The sequence below is a fragment of the Homo sapiens genome, chromosome 13 (genome assembly GCF_000001405.40).
Source record: "Homo sapiens chromosome 13, GRCh38.p14 Primary Assembly".
Taxonomy (NCBI): domain Eukaryota; kingdom Metazoa; phylum Chordata; class Mammalia; order Primates; family Hominidae; genus Homo; species Homo sapiens.
Window position 1 is genome coordinate 52,477,415 of NC_000013.11, and position 22,966 is coordinate 52,500,380.

The window sequence follows — 22,966 nt, forward strand, 5'->3', positions numbered from 1 at the left end:
GATAAATTCTACATATGTGTTTGTTTATTGTCTGTATCCCAACCAGTCAAAACCACCATGATATGCCTGTACTTGCTCTATTGAGAATAGATGTTCTTTCTTTCCAATTTATAGCAAAGATGGAGTCAGTGTAGGGGGTGAGTTGGTAACACCTGTTTCACAACTCTAGGGAGCAATATTCTCACGGACAAGAGTGAAAGATGGCCTCTGAGAGACTGTGCAACTTCACATCCTGGCTTTGTATCCTCCAACCTACACACCTATCTGTTTCTAAGCCTTTTTTTCCTACTTTTTCTTTACCTCTTCTACCTGTGCTTAGGAACTCATGCTTTCCCTTTAGCATCAAGCTTCTTGGAGAAGGAGAAGTTATCTACTCCATTGCTCCTCTTTTATTAGCAATTTTCTTCCTCTTTTCCATTCACTCTTCAATTAATTGCAGTCTAGCTTTTGCTTTCCCTAGATTGAAACACATTCCAGAAAAATCAGTTTAATTACATGGCCTTTGCACTTGCTCACTGAAACCTTTTATCACTCTATTACATTAGATTCATACCTCTCCCAACCCTAATTCCATATCCTCCTTACCTGATTTATTTTTCCTCAGAGCACTTATTCAATTAAATATTCACGTATTTATTTGCTCATTGTCTGTGTTCCCGACTAGAATCTAATCCTAGAGGGCAGGGATTTTCATTCCTTTTTCTTTTTTTGATATGCAATCTTGCTCTGTGGCCCAGGTTGGAGTGCAGTGGCATGATCTCGGCTCACTGCAAGCTCTGCCTCCCGGGTTCACGCCATTCTCCTGCCTCAGCCTCCTGAGTAGCTGGGACTACAGGCACCCACCACCATACCCGGCTAATTTTGGGTATTTTTAGCAGAGACGTGGTTTCACCGTGTTATCCAGGATGGTCTCGATCTCTTGAACTCATGATCTGCCCGCCTCGGTCTCCCAAAGTGCTGAGATTACAGGCGTGAGCCACCGCGCCCGGCCAGGATTTTTATTTTCTATTTTGTTCACTGCTTTATCCCCAGTGCCTTGAATAGGAGATGCACCTAATGGGTGCTTCATGCATATTCACTGACTTGGACAAATAAATGCATTTTCTTATCTCCAGATTCATTGTGTCCTTTTCCATGTCCTCCTTGACTTCTCAGGGACACTTGACACTTGCTTCTGTGAACTTCCATGACCACACTCTCTCTTGGGTTCCTCCTGTTTTCATACCACTTTCTTATTTCCCTTTGCCAGCTTCTTTTCTTCTTACTCTTAAATATTGGCCATTCTGGTGTTGTCCTTGTTATCTTTCTCTTCCTACTCTATGCTTTTCCAGACAAGCTTATCTACACTTGGGGATTCGAATACCATCCACAAGATGAGAATTCTCAAGCATATATTTCCAGCTCTTGACTTTGCTCCTTCCATCATTGAAATGGCCCTCCCATGTTGAATCCCAACACACTTTTTTCCTCCCCAAACTGCTCTGTATTTAGGTTAAGCACCAACACACAACTGATTCCCCAAGTCAGAAACTTAAGAGTCACCTTGAACTTCTTCCTTTCACCAGCACTCTGAAGCAGTAGGACATCAAACTGTCCGTGTTATCCTGGCTCGCTCTATACCCATTGCACCGCCTTATCATTTCTTGCTTGTCCTGTTTCATTAATTTTCTAAAATTCCCTTGCCTCCTTGTCTTGCCTTCCTCTAATTCATCCCACACGTGGCAGCCAGAGCGTTCATTTAAAAATGCCAACCTGTTCATGCTTCTCCCCTTAAAGAGTCCCCATTTTTGTGATTCTCAGCTGTCTGCAGAAATCATCCAAACTTCTTGGCACAGTATGGAAGGCCCTTCAAGATCTGTCACATCTTTTACCCTGACACAAATATTCTGCATATGGTATGGACTACTTATAATTCTTTAAAGAAGCCACACTCGTTCTTATCTCCTCTGTACATGCTGTTCCCAGTGTACTTTGTACATGCTGTTCCCAATGCAGAGATGCTGTTCCATGCTTTGTCTATCTGGTGAGCTCCTACTCAGGTCTTCCCTGATATCCCCAGGCAGAAACAGAAGCTTCCTCTGTGTCCTCTCCTACAAGTACCTCATTACAGCACTGATTGCATTTGCAGGAATTGGTTTTCACATGTCTCTCTTCCTCAAGCATCTGTGAGCCCCAGGAGGGAATAAACTTCATTCTAACCATCTTCTTGAACTTTTTTCTTGGCACAGAATTTTTATTCTGGTTTATTAAGTTGAACAATAAAAATACTACTCTTCATCATTACCTCACATTTAACATGAAATTCTCATTTAACATGTTCCTAAGACACTTTCTCGGTGGCCCAGGATTGGGCGGTTGCTATTCAGTGCAGAAAGGGAGATGCCATCTAAGTGTGGTGGCAGAGTGTAGCTTGTCACCCACCAAGAAGCCCGAGTTATTGTCTCTTGGCCTCTATGGACTTTATGAGGCGTTTAATCCTTCAGGCTTCAGTTTCCTTAACTAAAATGAGGAGAGGAATAACCTGAGTTCTGAGATTAAACAGAAAAGTGGAACTAAAGTATCAGCCATACTCTGCTTTGGCAACCAATTTATAAACTTTACCATCCTAAAATAAGCTCTGTGTTTTTTGTGCAATTATAATTTTGTATATTCATTTAATGTGTACCGGAGTTGTAGGCAGTCATTTTATTATTTTTATTTTTATATTTTTTAGAGACACGGTCTCATTCTGTCATCCATCCTGGAATGTAGTGGCTTGACCGTAACTCACTGCAACCTTGAACTACTGGGCTGACAGTCCTCCTGCCTCAGCCCCCTGACTGCAGGCATGCGCCACCATGTCTGGGTAATTTTTAAATGTTTAGTAGCATTGAAATCTCACTATGTTGTCTGGGCTGGTGACAAACTCCTGGGCTCAAGCAATCCTCCTGCCTCAGCCTCCCAAAGTTCTGGGATTATAGGCGTGAGCCACCACGTCCAGCCCTAAGTGGTCATTTTAGGTCATAAACTCCATAAGGGCCAAAGGCCTTTTGACTCTCCACATATGGTTGAGTAGAGTACCTGCACTCCACATATATCGGCTGAACTGACTTGTATAGTGTTCAGAATAACTTTATAGCAATTTCAGAAATACAAGATGAGAAGCAGATTTGCTGTGATTTTAGTTATAAATAACAAGGAAAAAATGTTTTGCTCCTGGTAAATGAAAGGCACCAGTTTATCCAAAGGACTAAGAAAGGAAACTGACGCCTTGATTTGCTAAATCCAAATCCTTTTGGTACAACAGGGGTGGACAAATGGAAAAACCTGCCCTAGATGGCTTTGTGATATTTCGTTATGCTCAGAGTAGGTGCTCTATAAATACCTGTTGGATGAATGTTGCATGACTGCAGTTCCTCTATAGCTTTAATGAGTTCCTAAGAGCAGCTAGCCATATCCCTTAATAGTACCTTTCTGCTGACAGCAGCAAGCTATGTATGGTGTTAGTACGGTTGCTAGATGATGAAGCAGGAGAGAGGTCAATTCTGAATAAACATCTAGGAATTTAGTAAGAGAAGTTGAGCAAAGAGCTGTATAAAACAGCTCTGGATTCCAGTTAATGTAAACTTCATTCAGTTAGGTATACTAACTTTTTAAAAAACAAAGGCTGATGTCTGGTTACCTGAGCACTGACTCAGGCCCACACGTGAATTTTGGACAAAACATTTTAATTTGAATTCTTTTTTGACGGGGCTGATGCAATCCAGTTTTCCAGAGTTTCTAACACTCCCTATTATCTTGCTTTACTCATTTACATAACCTGTGAATCTCCTGAAACTTCTTCCTGGCTTAGAGGAAACTGAAACTAGAAAGAGAAACCTTTGGATGGCAAACTGGTCTAAAGTTACAATTTAGTCTTCAAAATTGGTTTAACCAAGCTTTCAGAGCGGATGGGCATGTTTCTTTATCTAATTTGTCTTACAGTTTTGTTTACTGCGACGATCTGTGAAAGACTTAAAAAAGAAGGGCTCATGATGAGTAATTGTCCAGGGCCCCTTACACATAGGCGTATTTTCATTAATTAAGAATTGTTGGCCGGGCACGGTGGCTCACGCTTGTAATCTAGCACTTTAGGAGGCCGAGGCAGGCGGATCACGAGGTCGGAAGATCGAGACCATCCTGGCTAACATGGTGAAACCCCGTCTCTGCTAAAAAATACAAAAAAAAAAAAAAAAATTAGCCGAGCGTGGTGGCGGGCACCCGTAGTCCCAGCTACTGGGGAGCCTGAGGTAGGAGAATGGCGTGAACCCAGGAGGCGGAGTTTGCAGTGAGCAGAGATCGCGCCACTGTACTCTAGCCTGGGAGACAGAGCGAGACTCCGTCTCAAAAAAAAAAAAAAAAAAAAAAAAAAAAAAATATATATATATATATATATATATATATATATATATATATATATATATGTGGGCGAATAAATGAAAAAATCTACTCAGTACACTGATGAAATATTAACTAGTAAACTACTCACCATCAATCCCAGCAAACGTTTCTCCCTGGGGCCAACAATTTATTACATGGAAGATCGTCTCCCTTAAGAAGATGTCTTACAGGCTGTAGTTTCTCTTCTATAAATAAATTATGTTTTTCAAAATATCAAGAGCTATGCTTCATTTTTGAAGAAATTTGTAGTTCTTGGGCCTCATATCTCTATCTAGCGAAGCAAATTGGTAATACACCAATTAAGATACCCGGGTATGAATATAAGAAACACAGTTGTGAAAAAATTATTTATAGAAAATTACCCTTCCTTTTCCAAGGTTCAAAAACCTTGAATTGTATCTACTTTATATTTTCTGGAGTTCAGCAAGTTCTTTCTTTTCCGGATAGCCTATTTCTAAATATCTGGACAGTGTCATGCTATTGGAAAATATATGGGTGTATATAAAACTTATGATTAGCTTGTTTTTCACCACTTTTAAATCAAAGAACCGTTGATATTTGTTAACACGAATGTTATTTAGATATGTTATAGTATAATGTGAATAAAATTTTTGTAAATTATGCTAACAATCCTACCAATTTAACAAATATTTATAAAGGGTTTTTTATTTTTGTTTTTTGTTTTGTTTTGAGATGAAGTCTTGCTCTGTCACCCAGGCTGGAGTGCAATGGCGCCATCTTGGCTCACTGCAACCTCCACCTCCCAGGTTCAAGTGATTCTCCTGCCTCAGCCTCCTGAGTAGCTGGGATTACAGGTGCCCCCCACCGCACTTGGCTAATTTTTGTATTTTTAGTAGAGATGGGGTTTCACCATGTTGGTCAGGCTGGTCTCAAACTCCTGACCTCGTGAACAATCCACCTTGGTCTCCTAATGTGCTGGGATTACAGGGGTGAGCTCCCACGTCCGGCCTCATTTTTGTTTTTGTTTCCTTCAACTTTTATTTTAAGTTCTGGAGTACATGTGCAGGATGTGCAGTTTTGTTACATTGGTAAATGTGTGCCATGGTGGTTTGCTGCACAGATCAACCCATCACCTTGGTATTAAGCCCAGCATCCATTATCTGTTCTTCCTGATGCTCTCCCTCCCCCCATCAGGCCCTCCCCGCAACAGGCCTCAGTGTGTTTTCTTCCCTGCCATGTGTCCATGTGATCTCATCATTCAGCGCCCACTTATAAGTGAGAACATGTGTTGTTTTGTTTTCTGTTCCTCTATTAGTTTGCTGAAGATAACAGCTTCCAGCTCCATCTGTGTCCCTACAAAGGACATGATCTCCTTCCCTTTTATGGCTGCATAGTATTCCATGGTGTATGTGTACCACATTGTCTTTATCCAGTTTATCATTCATAGGCATTTGGGTTGATTCCATGTCTTTGCTATTGTGAATAGTGTTGCAATAAACATACAGGTGCATGTATATTTATAACAGAATGATTTATATTCCTTTGGGTATATATCCAGTAATGGGATTGCTGCGTCAAATGCTATTCCTGCCTTTAGATCTTTGAGGAATTGCCATACTGTCTTCCACAAGGGTTGAACTAATTTACATTCCCATCGACAGTGTAAAAGCTTTCCTTTTTCTCTGCAACCTTGCCAGTATCTGTTGTTTCTGGACTTCTTAATAATTGCCATTCTGACTGGCATGAGATGATATCTCATTGTGGTTTTGATTTGCCTTTCTCTAAAGATCAGTGATGTTAAGCTTTTTTTTTCCATATGTTTGTTGGCCACATGAATGCCTTCTTTTGAGAAGTGTGTGTTTATGTTCTTTGCCTACTTTTTAATGGGGTTGTTTTTTTTCTTGTAAATTTGTTTAAGTTCCTTATAGATTCTGGATATTAGGCCTTTGTCAGACAGACAGATTGCAAAAATTTTCTCCCATTCTGTATGCTGTCTGTTCACTCCGATGATAGTTTCTTTTGCTATGCAGAAGCTCTTAGGTTCAATTAGATCCCATTTATCAATTTTTGCTTTGGTTGCAATTGCTTTTGGTGTTTTTGTCATGAAATCCTTACCCGTGCCTATGTTCTAAACGGTATTGCCTCAGCAATACTCAGCCTCAGCCCAGTTCTGTGCCCTTGCTGGAGAGGTGTTGCGTTCATTTGGAGGAGAAGAGACACTCTGGCTGTTGTGTGGTCTCCCTGATGTCCTGGAATGTCCTAGCCAATTGAGTGATGGTTTTTCTCTCCAGTGCATCCTCCCTGACCAGCCAGCTCTTCCTTCCCCAGCTCTTGCCCTGCAGTGACTCTGAAAGCTTGTTGTTCCATTTACTGCTTGCACTCACTTTATTTCACAGAGTAAAAGGTGCTTTGCAAACATAAGTTTATGTTGTTTGTCTTCAGCTCCCCCTGTATTCTCTCACCATGTCATTGGCGTGGAGAAGCAGGAACCTAAACATGGGAAGTGAACATCAAAATATGTCATGATCACAGTGTGCTTCAAGGTAAATACCACTTCAGCACGATATCCATTTGTATAAAGCTTAAAAATAACTGTCACAAAGTAATATATTTTCAGATATATCTATATTTACATCTACATCTCCCCTGTCTATACATAGATACATATCTAGACTATAAAGAAAAGCACAGGGATTATGAACATAACCTTCAGAAGAGTGGTCACCTCTGTTGCGAAGCAAGGGGACTGGATCAGAGAAGAAATTCCAGCAGTCCTGTAGCTTCCACAGGACTAGAAATGTTTCATACTGCATGAGGTCATGGGTTTATGGATGTTATTTAATTGTTATGCTTCATAACTTAGATGCACATCCCATGTTGAGAATACAACATGTTACATTTATATAGTGGGAAACTCTACAGCAATGAGTTTGAACGAACTACAACTATATGCATCAAAGTAGCTGCATCTCATAAGCATAATATTGAGGGAAAGAAGGTAGAGAAGAGTATACTGAATAATTCAACTCCTAAATGAATTATCCTATTAGAAATCAGAAGTAAGTCAGGCAGTGGTTAGCCTCAGGAGGGCGGTAACTAGAAGGAGGCTTCTAAGTACTGGTAATGTTTTGCTCTTTGGTCTGAGTACTGGTTATGAGTACTGAGTACATACTGTACTGTGTATTTACACTGTGAATGCTCATTGAACTTCATACTTGTGATTTGTGCACTTTTGGGTATGTTTGTTATACCTCAACCAAAATTTTACATCTCAAAGAAGTCAACGCTGGCCTTTGTCACCTACCTCTGCACACCATAAAAAGTGTGATTAAGGCTGGGCACAGTGGCTCACGCCTGTAATCCCAGCACTTTGAGAGGCTGAGGCAGGCAGATCACAAGGTCAGGAGTTCGAGGCCAGCCTGACCACCACGGTGAAACCCCATCTCTACTAAAAATACAAAAATTAACTGGGTGTGGTGGTGCGTGCCTGTAATCCCAGCTACTCAGGAGGCTGAGTCAGAAAAATTGCTTGAACTCGGGAGGCGGAGGTTGCAGTGAGCTGAGATCGCACCACTGCATTCCAGCCTGGGTGACAGAGCGAGACTCTGTCTCAAAGAAAAAAAAAAAAAAGTGTGATTAAATAGACTGATGAATGAAACAGAACTGAATGTCTATGAATAGATCCTAATACATGTGGCACTTTACACAATGATAAAGGTGGCTTTTCAAATTAGTGATAAATAGAAAATTCAACAAATGGTGTTGGGATAAATGAGTAGCCATTTGGAATAATAAAAATTAGTTTAGCTCTACTTTATATCTTACACCAAGGTATATTTCAGATGAATAAAAGATTCTTTTTATTTTTTTAAGAGACAGAGTCTTACGCTGTCATCCAGGCTGCTGGAGTCCAGAGACTCACTACAGCCTTGAGCTCCTGGACTCAAGTGATCCTCTCTCCTCAGTCTGCTGAGTAGCTGGGACTACAGGTGTGCATCACCATACCTGGCTGCTTGGCTAATTGTTAGTTTTGTTTTTTTTTTCTAGAAACTGGGTCTCACTATGTTGCGTAGGCTGGTCTCAAACTCCTGGAATCAGGTGATCCTCCAATCTCAGCCTCTCAAAGCATTAGGATTACAGGTGTGAGCCACTGTGCCAGGCCCAAAAGATTTAAATTTTAAAATAAAACAATAAAATGAGTCAAAGAAACATTGAGAATAATTTTTATAACTTTACAGTTCTTTTTAAAAAGCACAATATAGCAAAAGACCTCCTAAAACTAGAAGACTGATGAATTAAATTGTTTAAAAATGTGTGGCAAAATCCACAATAAATAAAAAGTTAGATAACAAATTGGGAAAAATATTTCCAATTCATAATGCATATAGACAGCTAACATCACCAGTGTAAAAGAGCTCTTTCAGATCAATAAGGAAAAGATGAATAAGCCACCAGAAACATGGACAAAAAGTATACACAAACAGTTCATTGAAAAGAAATAAAAGTGACTCAAGGCCAGGTGCGGTGGCTCGTGCCTGTAATCCCAGCACTTTGGGAGACCGAGGAGTTCGAGAGCAGCCTGACCAACATGGCAAAACCCCGTCTCTACTAAAAATACAACAGTTAGCTGGGTGCGGTGGCACAGGTCCGTAGTCCCAGCTACTTGGGAGGCTGAGGCAGGAGAATGGCTTGAACCCGGGAGGCAGAGGTTGCAGTGAGCCAAGATCACCTCCGGCACTCCAGCCTGGGTGATAGAGCAAGATTCTGTCTCAAAAAAAAAAAAAAAAAAAAAGTGACTCAAACGTGAAAAGATGCTCAACCTCACTCATGATGAATAAAATAAAAATGAAAGCTACAAATATATTATTCCTGTAGTGCTGGAGTACACCAGGTATTATAGAAGTATTTTAAAATACACTTAGTTGGCAAGAGTATGGGGAAGCAGGTACTTTCTTACGTTGCAGGTGAATAAAAGTTGGTGAAATCTTTAAGGGCAATAGTTTACTGAAAGGCAAGATCTATTAATATTACAGATGAATATACCATCTGAACATATCATTTAATCCAATAATTTTACTTTGGGAATATATCTTACAAATATGTTAGAACATAAGTAAAATTACACACACACACACACACACGTTATTAATCTTATTTTGAGTAGCAAAAAATTGGACCAAAAAATACTAATATCTATCAATAGAAAATTGGTAAATAAAATGCAGCCATCCAAAAGAATAAAAAACAATTATTTTACAAATATGGAAGAACTTCAAGTGACAAAAGCAATGTGTAGGAGTTGTATAATATTATATAGTATCTATCATTTATATTTTTTAAAAGGTAAAAAATATACTTTATAGACTTAGAAATAAAATTAACAATAGAAGTATAAATCGAACTCATAAAATATAAGTGAATAGTAAAGGGTTGACTCAGCAGCTATGGGATTGCATGCCTCAAAGAAAAGACTGACTCTTGACCAACTATTAGCTCTTGAAATATCCTGCCTGATAAGAGTGTCTTTGTATACCTCGGGCCTTGGGCAATGCCAGAGTTTGTGCTAATAATGTAATTTATGGTGAACACCTGTTTTTGCTTGCCTGGAGCCCTGGGTCATATTGTATGAGTTTGACTTCATAGGGAGGAATGGGTTGGAGACTGAGTATTAAGGGTCAATAGTCGGGGGTCTTCATGCCTATGCAGCTGACCTTGGACACAAAAGTTTGTGTGAGCATCCCTGGTTGACAATTCTTTGTCCATATTGTCACACGTCATTGCTGGGAGAATTAAGTTCTGTTCATATAACTCCACAGGGAGAGGACAACTGGAAGCTGCTCCTGGTTCTGCCTGGACTCTGCCCTAAGTGCCTTTTCCTTCCGAATGTATTCTATAGCCTTTCATCGTAATAAACCATAACCGTGAATAGAACAGCTTGTCTAAGTTCTGTGAGTCCTTCTAGCTCCTTATTGAATACGGTGGCAGCATTGGGTCCCTCAACACACTAGATAAAGTAATTAGAGAAGCATTTATTTTTTTCAGATGCTGGCATTGAAAAGGAATAAGGACTACTTATTGAGTTAAGTATTCAGTTTAAGATGTTAGATAAAGGGCAACAAAATAAAGAAAGTAGAAGGGGCTGTCTACTGTTTACCATCACACTTTGCTGCCTCTCTTGGACAATCTATAGACAAAGTTAATAAAAGAGTGCAACAAGTTTTCCGAATGCAGAATTGATATACAAAAAAAGATTGCATTTCTATATACCAGCAACAACAACTCAGAAAACATAATTTTAAATGCAACACTACTAAAAATAACAACATAATCATTATGGAATCATGAAGATGTCAATTCTCCCAAAATTAATCCATAAACTTGATGCAATTCCAATACAAACTCAAGAGGATTTTTTTACAATACTGAACAAGCTAATGTCACAATTCATGAGGAAGAGCCTATGTTTAAAAACAAAGCACCAAAGTGGGAGACTTGTTCTACCAGATTTAAATAATTATTAAAAAGTTAAGTTAAACAGTGTAGTATTGGTGCAGAGATAGATGTATAAGCTAATGAAATGAAAGAGGGCCTAGAAAGAGCCCAAATCATATATGGAAATATAAATGACAGACATGGCATCAGAACTCAGTGGTAAAAGATGAGAGTATTCATCTCCCATCTTTTTCAAAAGATGTTGAAATTCAAAGGGTGTTGAAATTTTTGGCTGTTGATATTATAATAAAAATAACATTTGGTCCTTGTCCTTAGTTCCTGACACACAGCTCCTGAAGTCCTTGGAATCTCCAGAGTGATGACTGAGTTAATCACCAATGGTGAATGGCAATGATTATCTGTGAGGACCAAAGCTGAGTCTTCGTGCTTAGGGCAGGAGCGCAGACAAGGAGAGGGGCTCTTCCTTCTGAGGCTTGTCATCTAGAACTCATTGTCACTGGAAGCCAGAGCCTAAATGGGCCTATCAGTTGCCTTGGGTTATAAGAACAAGTTTGAGTATTTATTCATTTATTTATCTTGAGTTCGGGGCCCCTGTGTATCTGCTCACTGCCTGCCCGCAGTTCAGCTTGTGCTTGGCTCACTCACCATTCAGCGAAATGAAGGAACCAGCGGAATGAAGGAACCAGCGGAGGGACCTCCGGGAGGAGGCGCTGCCCAGCGAGCCTGGCGCCGGGGGGCGGGGCCTGACGGGAGCTCTGCTCAGGCTTCAACATGGCGGGCCGTTTCGGTTGACTTCGCCTGTGGAAACCGAATTCCCCCTCCATGGTTTCCCCAGGATATGAGTTGGGGGCCTCACCTCGCCTATAAGGGTCAGGCGAGCTTTCTGGATGCTCGAGGGACCTTTCGGCCTGCGCAGCCGGAGCAGCTTGTCCCAATGCCCTGCCATTTCTGTGAGGGCCCACGAGGCCTGGAGGAGCCTCGGAGCCCCCGCAGGCCCTCGCGTCACTGCCTCAAGAGGGTGCTCGGAGCCCTGCTCGGGAGCTGGTCCCCAACGAGGTGTGGAACCCCTTCTTGCTGGAACTCCACGGAGAGACTGGTAATAAGATAGTAATAAGACCGACTACTGTTTATTGAACCTCCGCTAGTCACTGGCTGTCACGGGTTGGGCGAGAGGTGGAATATAAGGCCCAGAGTTCCTCTATTATAGCCATGGAGAGCCATTAATACCTGCTTAATAGAGTTGTGGTGAGACATGGAATGGGCAAGAAAGGCACTCGATTTATTTGATTTTTAGAATCATGATTATTATTATTATTTTGAGACGGAGTCTTGATCTGTCGCCCAGGCTGGAGTGCAGTGGTGCGATCTCGGCTCACTACAAGCTCTGCCTCCCGGGTTCAAGCGATTCTCCTGCGTCACCCTCCCGGGTAGCTGGGATGACAGGCGCGCGCCACCATGCCTGGCTAATTTTTGCATTTTTGGTAGAGACGGGTTTTCATCATGTTGGCCAGGCTGGTCTCGAACTCCTGATCTCCACTAATCCACCCGCCTTGGCCTCCCAAAGTGTTGGGATTATAGGTGTGAGCCACCTCACCAGAAAGTGCCAAGAAAGGCACTTTAGACAGTGCCAGAGTTGAGGATTTGGCCTCTGACTCGCTGCAGTTGCCACACTGCAGTTGCCACACTGTGGCCTTAGAACAGTCTTATCCAGTCCTGAAAACCCCAGTGCCTTGGAAACATCAGGATTGGTCAGAAGGACAGTAAGTCCTTAAGGCGCCAGCCCCTGCTCCTCCCCCCAGATTGAGGGGTAAGTATTCCAAGCTCTATGCAGGACCCTAATCCTGGATGTGGACACCCACAGTCCTGCTAGGACCTGCTTCCAGAAGAGTTGATCCCAGCCGTGAAAGTGCATGATGCCTTCAGCGAAGCAGGCAGGAAAGGCTCAAGTGATCCTCCTGTATCACCCTGGTGAGTAGCCAGTAGCTGGGACCACAGGCGCGCACCACCACGCCTGCCTAATTTCTTTGTAGAGACGGCCTTCGTCATGTTGCCCAGGCTGCTCTGGAAGTCCTGAGCTCAAGCGATGCGCCTGCCTTGGTCTTCCAAAGTGCTGGGATTACAGGCGTGAGCCACCACGCTCAGCCCAATTTGTGATCTTTCATGCACTCTTTCATGTAGCATGTTTTCAAGGTTCATCCAACTTGCAGTGTCTTAATGCTGAATAATATTTCATTGTGTAGATATAATGTATTTTTCAAGTTTTGTTTATTTTTAATTGGTACACAACAAATATTTGTACATATTTGTGTGGTACATATGTACATGTGATATGTTGTTACATGCATAGAATATGTAAGGATCAATCAGGGTATTTAAGGTATCTGTCACTTTGAGTATTTGTCATTGCCATATGTTGGGAACATTTCAAGTCTTCTCTTACAGCTATTTTGAAATATACAATACATTGTTGTTCACTGTAGTCACCCTACTCTGCTATAGAACATTAGAACTTAACTCCTTCTATCTAACTGTATTAACCAACCACTCTTCCCTGCCAACCCACACACCCTTCCTAGCCTCTGGTATCTATCTGTCCACCGTCAACTTTTTTAGCTCCTACGTATGTGATAACATGCAATATTTGTCTCTCTGTGCCTGGCTTACTTCACGTAACAATGACTTCCAGTTCCATCCAGGTTGCTGCAAACGACATGATTTCATTCTTTTTTTATGGCTGAATAGTACTTGATTATATATATCGCATTTTCTTTATCCATTTGTCTGTTGATGGACACTTAGGCAGATTCTATATTTTTGCTTGTGAATAGTGCTGCGGTAAACATGGAAGTACAGGTATCATCCCTTTGATATACTGGTTTTTTTCCTTTAGATAAACAGCCAGTAGTGGCATTGCTGGATTGTATGGTAGCTCTATTTTCAGTTTCCTGAGAAATCTCCATACTGTTTTCCATAGTGACTGTACTCATTTACATTCCCACACATAAGAGTTCCCCTTTCTCTGCATCCTCGCCCACATCCATTATTATTTTGTCTTTTTAATCATAGCCGTTCTCATTGGGTGAAGATGATATCTCATTGTGGTTTTAATTTTCATTTCCCTTATTATTAGTGACGTCGAGCATTTTTTCATATACCTGTGTGTCTTCTTTGGAGAAATATCTATTTATGTCCTTTGCCCACATTCGTTCATTCATTTATTGGAGTCAGGGTTTTGCTCTGTTGTCCAGGATGGAGTGCAGTGGTGCAATCACGAGTCACTGCAGCCTCCACTTCCTGGTCTCAGATGATTCTCCTGCTTCAGCCTCCAGAGTAGCTGAGACCACAGGCACGTCCCACTGTGCCCAGCTAATTTGTATGTGTGTGTGTGCTTTTTGTTTTTGTTTTTGTATTTGTTTTTTTTTTGGAGACAGGATGGGAGTGCAGTGGTGCTATCACTGCTCATTCTAGCCTCAATCTCCTGGGCTCAAGTGATCCTCCCACCTCGTTTTTTGATTTTTGTAGAGATGAGGTCTCACTATGTTGCCCAGGCTGGGCTTGAACTCTTGGGCTCAAGCAATCTTACTGCCTCGGCCTCCCCAGGTGCTGGGATTACAGGCATGAGCCACCAAACCCAGCCTAATTTTTGTATGTTTTTGTAGAGACGGGGTTTTACTATGTTACCCAAGGTGGTCTCAAACTCCTGGGCTCAGGCAGTCCACCTGCATCAGCCTCCCAAAGTGTTAGGATTACAGGCATGAGCCATCATGCCTGACCCTTTTCCCACTTTTAAATGGAATGATTATTATTTTTTACTGTTGAGGTGTTTGAGTTTCTCGTGTATTCTAGATATTAATTCCTTGTTGGATGAATAGTTTGCAAATATTTTCTCCCATTCAACAGGTTGTCTCTTCACTCTGCTGTTTCCTCTGATGTGCAGAAGCTTTTTAGTTTAATATAGTCCAATTTGTCTACTTTTGTTTTTGTTGCCGTGCTTTTGAAGTCTCAGCCATAAAATCTTTTCCTAGTGTCCTGAAGTGGTTCCCCTAAGTTTTCTTCTGGTAGTTTTATGGTTTTGGGGCTTATGCTTAAGTCTTTAATCCATCTTGAGTTGATTTTTGTGTATCGCGAAAGGTAGGAGGTTAGTTGTGTTCTTTTGCATACATATGGATATCCAATTTTCCTAGTACCATTTATTGAAGAGGATGTCCTTTCCCCAATGAGTGTCCTTGACACCTTTGTTGAAAATCAGTTGGCTGTAAATGTATGGATCTATTTCTGAGTTTTCTATTCTGTTTCATTTTATACCTGTTTTTATACCAATACTATGCCGTTTTGGTCACTAGAGCCTTGTAATATATGTTGAAGTCAGATAGTATAATGTCTCCAGCTTTCTTTTTACTTAGGATTGCTTCTCTATTCGAGCTCTTTTTTGGTTCCATATGAATTTTAGGATTATTTTTTCTACTTCTGTGAAGAATGACACTGGTATGTTGATAGGGATTTTATTGCATCTGTGTATTGCTGTGGGTTGTATGGTCATTTTAACAATATTGATTTTTTTCTGATCCATGAGCATGAGTTGTCGTTCCATTTCTTTATGTCCTTCTCAATTGCTTTCATCAATGTTCTGTAGTTGTCCTTGTAGAGGTTTTTCACCTACTTCGTTAAATTTTTTTCCTAGGTATTTTATTTTCTTGAGCTATGATAAATGGGATTTCCTTCTTGATTTCTTTCTCAGCTAGTTTATTATTGGTGTGTAGAAATGATACTAATTTTTGTATGTTGACTTTGTATCCTCCAACTTTTTTTTTTTTTGAATGGAGTCTTGCTCTGTAGTCCAGGCTGGAGTGCAGTGGTGCCATCTTGGCCCACTGCAGTGTCCGCCTCCTGGGTTAAAGCCATTCTCCTGTCTCAGTCTCCTGAGTAGCTGGAACTACGGGCGCACGCAACCAGGCCTGGCTAATTTTTGTGTTTTTAGTAGGGATGGGGTTTCACCGTATTGGTCAGGCTGGTCTTGAACTCCTGACCTCGGGTGATTCTCCTGCCTCGGTCTCTGAAAGTGCTGGGATTACAGGCATGAGCCACCGCACCTGGCTGTATCCTATAACTTTACTGAACTTACTTATCAGATCTAAGAGTTTTTGGTGGAGTCTTTAGGTTTTTCTAGATACAAGATCATGTCATCTACAAAGAGGGACAGTTTTACTTCCTCTTTTCCAATTTGGATGTCTTTTATTTGTTTCTATTGTCTGATTGCTCTGGCTAAGACTTCCAGTACTGTGTTGAATAGGAGTGGCAAAAATAGACATCCTTGTCTTGTTCCAGTTCCTAGAGGAAAAGCTGAAAGCCACGATAGGATGGTGTTAACTGTGGGTTTGTCATATGTAGCCTTTATTATGTCGAGGTATTAATAGGCTCCTTCAATGCCTAGTTTGTTGAGAGTTTTTATCATGAAGATCTTTTGAATTTTATCAAACCCTTTTTCTACATCTCTTGAAATGATCATATGGTTTTGTTCTTCATTCTGTTGATGTGGTGTGTTATCTTTGTTGATTGATGTATGTTGAACTACATTTGCATTTCTGGGACAAATCCCACCTGATCCTGGTATGTTATCTTGTTGATATGCTGTTGGATTCAGTTGGTTAGTATTTTGTTGAGGATTTTTACATCTATGTTTATCAGGGATATTAGAGTGTAACTGTTTTTTTTTGTTGCATTCTTATCTGGTTTTGGTATCAGGGTACTGCTAGCCTAGTAGAATGAGGAAGAATTCCCTCCTTTTCAATTTTTTGGACTAGTTTGAGGAGAACTGGTGTTAGTTTGTCTTTGTAAGTTTGGTAGAATTTGGTAGTGAAGTCATTAGCAGTGAAGCCATTGGGTCCTGGGCTTTTCACTGTTTGGATTCTTTTTTATTATGGATTCAATTTCATTACTCATGATTGGTCTCTTCAGGTTTTCTATTTATTCCTGATTCAATCATGGTAGGTTATATGTGTCAAGGAATTTATGCATTTCCTCTAAGTTTTCTAGTTTATTAATATATAGTTGTTCATAATACTGTCTGATGACTTTTGGTATTTCTGTGGTGTCAGTTGTAATGTCTACTTTTATTCGTTTATTTATTTCTTTATTTTTTGACACACGGTCTCACTCTGTCACCCAGGCTGGAGTGCAGTGGTGTGATCATGACTCACTGCAGCCTCAAGCTCCTGGGCCGACGAGATCTTCCCACCCCAGACTTCTGAGTAGCTGGGACTACAAACATATGCCACCATGCCCAGCTAATTTTTGTATTTTTTTTTTAGAGACAGAGTTTCGCCATGTTGCCCAGGTTTGTCTCATACTCCTGAGCTCAAGCAATCCACCTGCCTCAGCCTCTCAGAAATGCTGGGATTACAGGCATTAGCCACTGTGTCTGGTAATGTCTTATTTTTCATCTTGGATTTTGTTTATTTGGATCATCTTTTTCATTTTCTTGTTTAGTCTAACTAGCCGTTTATTGATTTTGCTTACCTTTTTGAAAAAGGAACTTTTTGTTTCATTGATTCTTTATATTGTTTTTGAAATCTATTTCATTTAGTTCTGCTCTGATCTTTATTATGTCTGTCCTTCTACTAATTTGAGGTTTGCTTTGTTCTTGCTTTTCTAGTTCTTTGAAGTTATCATTAGTTTGTTTATTTGAAATCTTTCTACTTTTAAAATATAGGTGTTTATTGCTATAAACTTCCCTCCTAGCACTGCTTTTGTTGTATCCCATAGGTTTTGTTATGTTGTTTTCAATTTTCACTTGTTTCAAGACATTTCATTTTTTGAGACAGGGTCTCTCTCTCTATCACTCAGGCTGGAATGCAGTGGCGTGATCTTGGCTCACTGGAACTTCCACCTCCTGGGCTCAAGCAATCCTTCTGCCTGAGCCTTCTGAGTAGCTGAGATTACAGGCACACACTAGCATACCTGGCTAACTTTTGTATTTTTTTGTAGAGACAGAATCTCACTATGTTGCCCAGGCCAGTCTCAAACTCCTGGGCTCAAGCAATCCACCCACCTTGGCCTCCCAAAGTACTAGGATTACAGGCATGAGCCACCACACCCAGCCTGTTTCAAGACATTTTTTGATTTCCTCTTTAATGTCTTCCTTGAGCTAAAGGTCATTCAGGAGCATGTTGTTTAATTTCCACGTATTTGTACAGATTCCAAAGTTTCTTTGTTATTGATTTCCTATCCTATGTCACTGTGGTCTGAGAAGATACTGGTATGATTTTGATTTTTGAAAATTTGTTGAGACTTATTCTATGTCCTAACATATGGTCTATCTTGGAGAATGTTTCATGTGCTGGTGAAGAGGTATGTGTATTCTGTAACTGTTGAATGAAATGTTCTATAAATGTCTGTTAGATCCATTTGTTCTAAAGCACAGTTTAAAATCAGTGTTTCTTTGTTAATTTCCTGTTTAGATGATCTGTCTAATGCTGAGTAGAGTGTTGAAGTCCTCATCTATTATTGCAGTCTATCTCTCCCTTTAGATCTAATGACATTTGCTTTATATATCTGGGTATCCCAGTATTGAGTGCATATATGTTTAGAACTGTTACATCCTCTTGCTAATGTATCTCCATGTCATTCTGTAGTGACCATCTTTGTCTCTTTTTACTGTTTTGTTTGTTTGTTTGTTTTTGAGATGGAGTCTTGCTGTGTTGCCCACGCTGGAGTGCAGTGGTGTGGTCTCGGCTCACTGCAACCTCCGCCTCCTGGGTTCAAGCGATTTTCCTGCCTCAGCCTCCTGAGTAGCTGGGATTACAGGTGCCTGCCACCATGCCCAGCTAATTTTTTGTATTTTTGGTAGAGATGGGGTTTCACCATGTTGACCAGGCTGGTCTCGAACTCCTGGCCTTGTGATCTACCCGCCTCAGCCTCCCAAAGTGTTGGGATTACAGGCGTGAGCCACTGTGCCTGGCCTCTTTTTACTGTTTTTGACTTAAAGTCTGTTTTATCTGATATAAGTATAGCTGCTCCTGATCACTTTTGGTTTCCCTTTGCACAGAATATCTTTTTCCAGTCCTTTCCTTTCAGTCTGTGTGTCTCCACAGGTGAGGTGAGTTTCTTGCAGTTGGCATATATTTGGGTCATGTTTATTTTTTAAATCCGTTCAGCCAGTCTGTGTCTTTTCAGTGGAAAGTTTAATCTATTTACATTGAAGACTATTTTTGATATGTGAGGGTTATTCCTGTCATTTTATTAATTGATTTCTGGTTGCTTTATATGTCCTTTGTCCCTTTCTTTCTCTCTTATTGTTGATCATTGTGGATTGGTGGTTTTCTTTAGTGATAACTTTTGAATTGTTCTTCTTATTTATGTGCTTGCTCTACCAGTGGGTTTTATACTTTCATGTGTTTCTGTGATGGTAGATATCATCCTTTTGCTTCCAGCTGTAGGACTGCCTTACATGTTTCTTATATACCTGGTTGAGTGGTGATGGAAAACCAACGGCTACCATTAAACTTAGTGGTGAAAGTCTTAAAGCTTTTCTCCTAAGATGAGGAACAAGCCAAGGATGCCTGCTCTTGCTTTTTCTATTCAACATTGTACTGGAGGTTCTAGCCAGGATAATTAGACAAAAAAACCAAAACAAAACCAACAACAAAAAAGAAAAAGCATCTAGATTGGAATGGAAAAAGTGAAACTGTATTTTTTGCAGATAAATAATGTTGTATATAGAAAATCTAAGGAACCCACAACAACGATAACAACAACAAACCTGCCGGAGCAACAGTTGAGTTCACAAAAGATATAAGATCAATGTGCAAAAAGTTATATTTAGAAACACTAGCAATGAGTAGCCTGAAAATGAAATTAAGAAAGTAATTTTATTTACAATAGCATTAAAAAATAAGACTAAAACAAAAGAAATGTAAGACTACAAAACATTATTGAAAGTGATTAAGTAAAGACCTAAATAAATAGATACACATTCTGGGTTTATTGAATGGAAGACATTACTGTTAAGATGACAGTACTCCACAAATTGATCTACATATTCAACTCAGTTCCTATCAGAATCCTAGCTTCTATTTTGCAGAAATTGACTTGCTGATCCTAAAATTCATTTGAAAATGCAAGGGACTCCGAAGAAGCAAAATGATCTTGAAGAAGAACAATGAAGTTGCAGAGTCCACACTTTATTATTTCAAAACTTACTTATAGTGGTTAAAATTGTGTAGTACTGGAATAAGGATAGACATGTAGATCAATGGAATAGAATTGAGAGTCCAGAAGTAAATTCATACATTTAAGGTCAATTGATTTTCCACAAGGGTATCAAGGCCATTCAGTGGAAAAGAACAGTCTCTTCAGCAAGTGGATGAAGTTAGATCTCTTCCTCACATCATACAGAAAAATCAACCTCAAATGGAAGAAATATCTAAATGTAAGATCCCAAACCGTACTCTTAGACAAAAACATAGGTGTAAATTTTTCTGATACTGACTTAGTAATGATTTCTTTTTTTCCTCTCCTTTTATGTGGGACAGGAAAACTAGAGGGGTTTAGAGTTGTCTTACTGCTTTTCCCCTATGTCAGACAAGGCCCTGATAAAGCAGTTTTTCTTTAGGGCAGGGCTTTCACACAGAGAATAGAATGCTCTGGGCATATTTCAAAATGGTTGCTGTACCCACTCACTCTATCCACCAACTAGGGTATATTTTGAAATGGTTGCTTTTCCCTTTTCCTTGCCTAAAGAGCCTGAGGAAATTTTCTTCAGCCTTCATCATGAGAACCAGCTAGGGTTTCTGGAAGTAACATTCATGAAAGTATAAGGGGTTCCCAAGGCGGGACTTCAACAAGTTTTTAACTCTCAAGCTAGTCCACACTCAGCCACCGGTAATTAATTGACTAGCATTTAAGTGTTCCTACCAATTACTGGCTCCTGTGGCTTCTGCTCTCAGGTAAACTGTGATGTTCTGTAGTCACGTGTCTCTCTAGTTTTTGAGGAAGTGGTTTGCCCTGTGACCTCTATTCTCTGACAGATCTAAGAAAAGTTGTTGATTTTCAGTTTGATTATCTTTTTTCCTGTTGTGAAGATGGGAGTGATGACTTCCAAGTTCTCTGCATGTTGGAGTGGGAACTGGAAGACCTAATTAACTTCTTAAGAAACTGCCAAACTGTTTTCCAAAGTGGATCTAGCACTTTACATTCCTGGCATTGTATGAGAGTTTCAGTTTCTCTCTATCTTTGTCAACACGCCATCTTTCTAATTTTAGATATTCTAATAGGTATCTAGTGGTTTCTTATTGTAGTTTGAATCTGCATTTCTCTAATAGCTAGTTATGATGGCCCTCTTTTCATTGGCTTGTCAGTTGCAAATCTTTATTAGTGAAGTATCTGTTCACATATTTTGCCCATTTTTTAAAAGTTGGGTTGTTTTCTTACATTTGAAGTTTATTTTTTCTTATAATCAAAATTTTAATGTATACATAACAAATTGTACATATGAGGTACAGTGTGATGTTTCAGTACATTTTACATGGTATAATGATCAAATCATGGTAATTAGCATATCCATTGCCTTAAACATTTACCATTTCTTTGCTGTAAGAACACTCAAAATCCTCTCTTCTAACTAGAATATGGGTGTATTTTAAATGTACACCTATTTATTTTCTCACAATCCTAGAAAATGATAGCTTGAGTCAATGAAGTTTCCCCTGCAAGTCCTATCAACCTTGCTTACTTTAGTGAAATTTAATATGGTCTAGAAAACACTGAGCCCTCTGGTTATTCTCTCTAACCCACAAAGGAAGCCGAACACTTGATAAAAAGTTCATCAGCGTAAATAAGAAGAATCCCCTCCATTACATACAAAAGAAAAAATAACTGGAGAGATCATCTCTGCTCTAAGGTGATTATCCTGTGGTCTTTGGTTTTGGTACGTTCTCCCCGACCCCATGCCCTTTTCCCTCATCTTTAATGAGTATCTGTATGTGTGGCAGAACAGCGTGTTTTTAAGTCTCTGCAGTCTTGGACCAAGCTCGTTTTATTCCCTACTCTACGAGAATCTCAAGAGCACCAGGATTCTGTTTGGAGTTGCCATGGACACAGAGTTCTTAATCCAGTACTGGCTTATTCTCAATACGAGGTAAAGACCTAGAGGTGAGGGTCTCTGAGCAAGGTAGTCCCATCCCATCCTCTGCCCTCTCTGTTGGCTAATGTTGTCCTCTCATCCTCATCAGGAGAATTAAAATCATGTAAAGTTTTGGTGGGGGAACTAGGTGGTGGTTTCTGGGGCCCACAGACAGGAAAGTTTGCTTATAGCCAGTTGGGGGGACCACTAATTGATATTCCTTTCCCCTCCCAGGGACCTTACGGAGTCCCCTTATCCTCAGGGTACTGGGGGACAACTAGTGGGTGTAGGGCCAAATAGTAATAACCTTGTTATTTGCCAGGAATGGGGTAAAGATTTGATCTAACAAGCTTGGTTTTGGGAATTAAAAAATGAAAAAAGGAAAAGCTATAATCCTGAAAGGCAACAGGAGAGAAAAGTGCTAACAGGATCTTGAATAAATTTCTCCCTCTTAGAGAAAGTTGTACTGAAGACACGAGACCTGAGACTTGTGTCATTTTAGCGGCTGAACCGACCCCAACTTCTTCTGAGCGGCAGTGGCGCCAGAAGCAGTCTGGCTTTCAGGTAAGCAGGTCCAGGGCTTACAGGGAGAAACTCCCAGGTATCCAGCTCTGCCTTGGGTTGCCCTGGTTCACATCCAAAGGTGTGCTTGGGCCACATCTCTGGAGCAGAAGGTGGTAGACTGAGAGCTTTGATATTTCTATTTCTATTGCACATGAGCTGGTATAACCCCAAAGGTATGGAATTTGCTGCTGTCTGTGACCCAGCAAATAGAAATAGGAAAGTAATGAGGTAGAAAAATAATAGAAATAGAAAAAAAATTGTAAAAATAAAATAAGCTTCATTCTATGCCTGTTAATGTCCTTAAAAATAGGACATTTTTAGGCAGTGTGATAACATGCATCTACTGGTTGCTTTCATATTTCCTATAGGGGTGGCTGCTTGCCCTAATGGTGGATGCTCTGTTCAGGATGGTGACCTAGTGCTCAGCTCTGGAAGCCACTCCACAGAGAT

At 40.3% G+C, this 22,966-nt stretch overlaps 1 long non-coding RNA gene and 1 pseudogene across 2 annotated transcripts in view; one reads left to right on the forward strand and one right to left on the reverse strand.

The window, feature by feature from the left end:
- Positions 1-5,067: 5,067 nt before the first annotated feature.
- Positions 5,068-22,966, reverse strand: part of LINC00345 (long intergenic non-protein coding RNA 345) — a 118,126-nt gene continuing 100,227 nt past the window's right edge. The window contains exon 3 of the long non-coding RNA NR_184203.1: positions 5,068-6,870. This is a non-coding gene — a long non-coding RNA (long intergenic non-protein coding RNA 345). The remainder of the gene's footprint in view (positions 6,871-22,966) is intronic.
- The window catches only part of TPTE2P3 (TPTE2 pseudogene 3), a 98,103-nt pseudogene continuing 86,715 nt past the window's right edge, over positions 11,579-22,966 (forward strand). Inside the window, exons 1-6 of the transcript NR_002793.2 lie at positions 11,579-11,929; positions 12,695-12,801; positions 20,148-20,260; positions 21,629-21,730; positions 21,827-21,967; positions 22,408-22,516. The product of NR_002793.2 is annotated as a TPTE2 pseudogene 3 (transcript). The remainder of the gene's footprint in view (positions 11,930-12,694; positions 12,802-20,147; positions 20,261-21,628; positions 21,731-21,826; positions 21,968-22,407; positions 22,517-22,966) is intronic.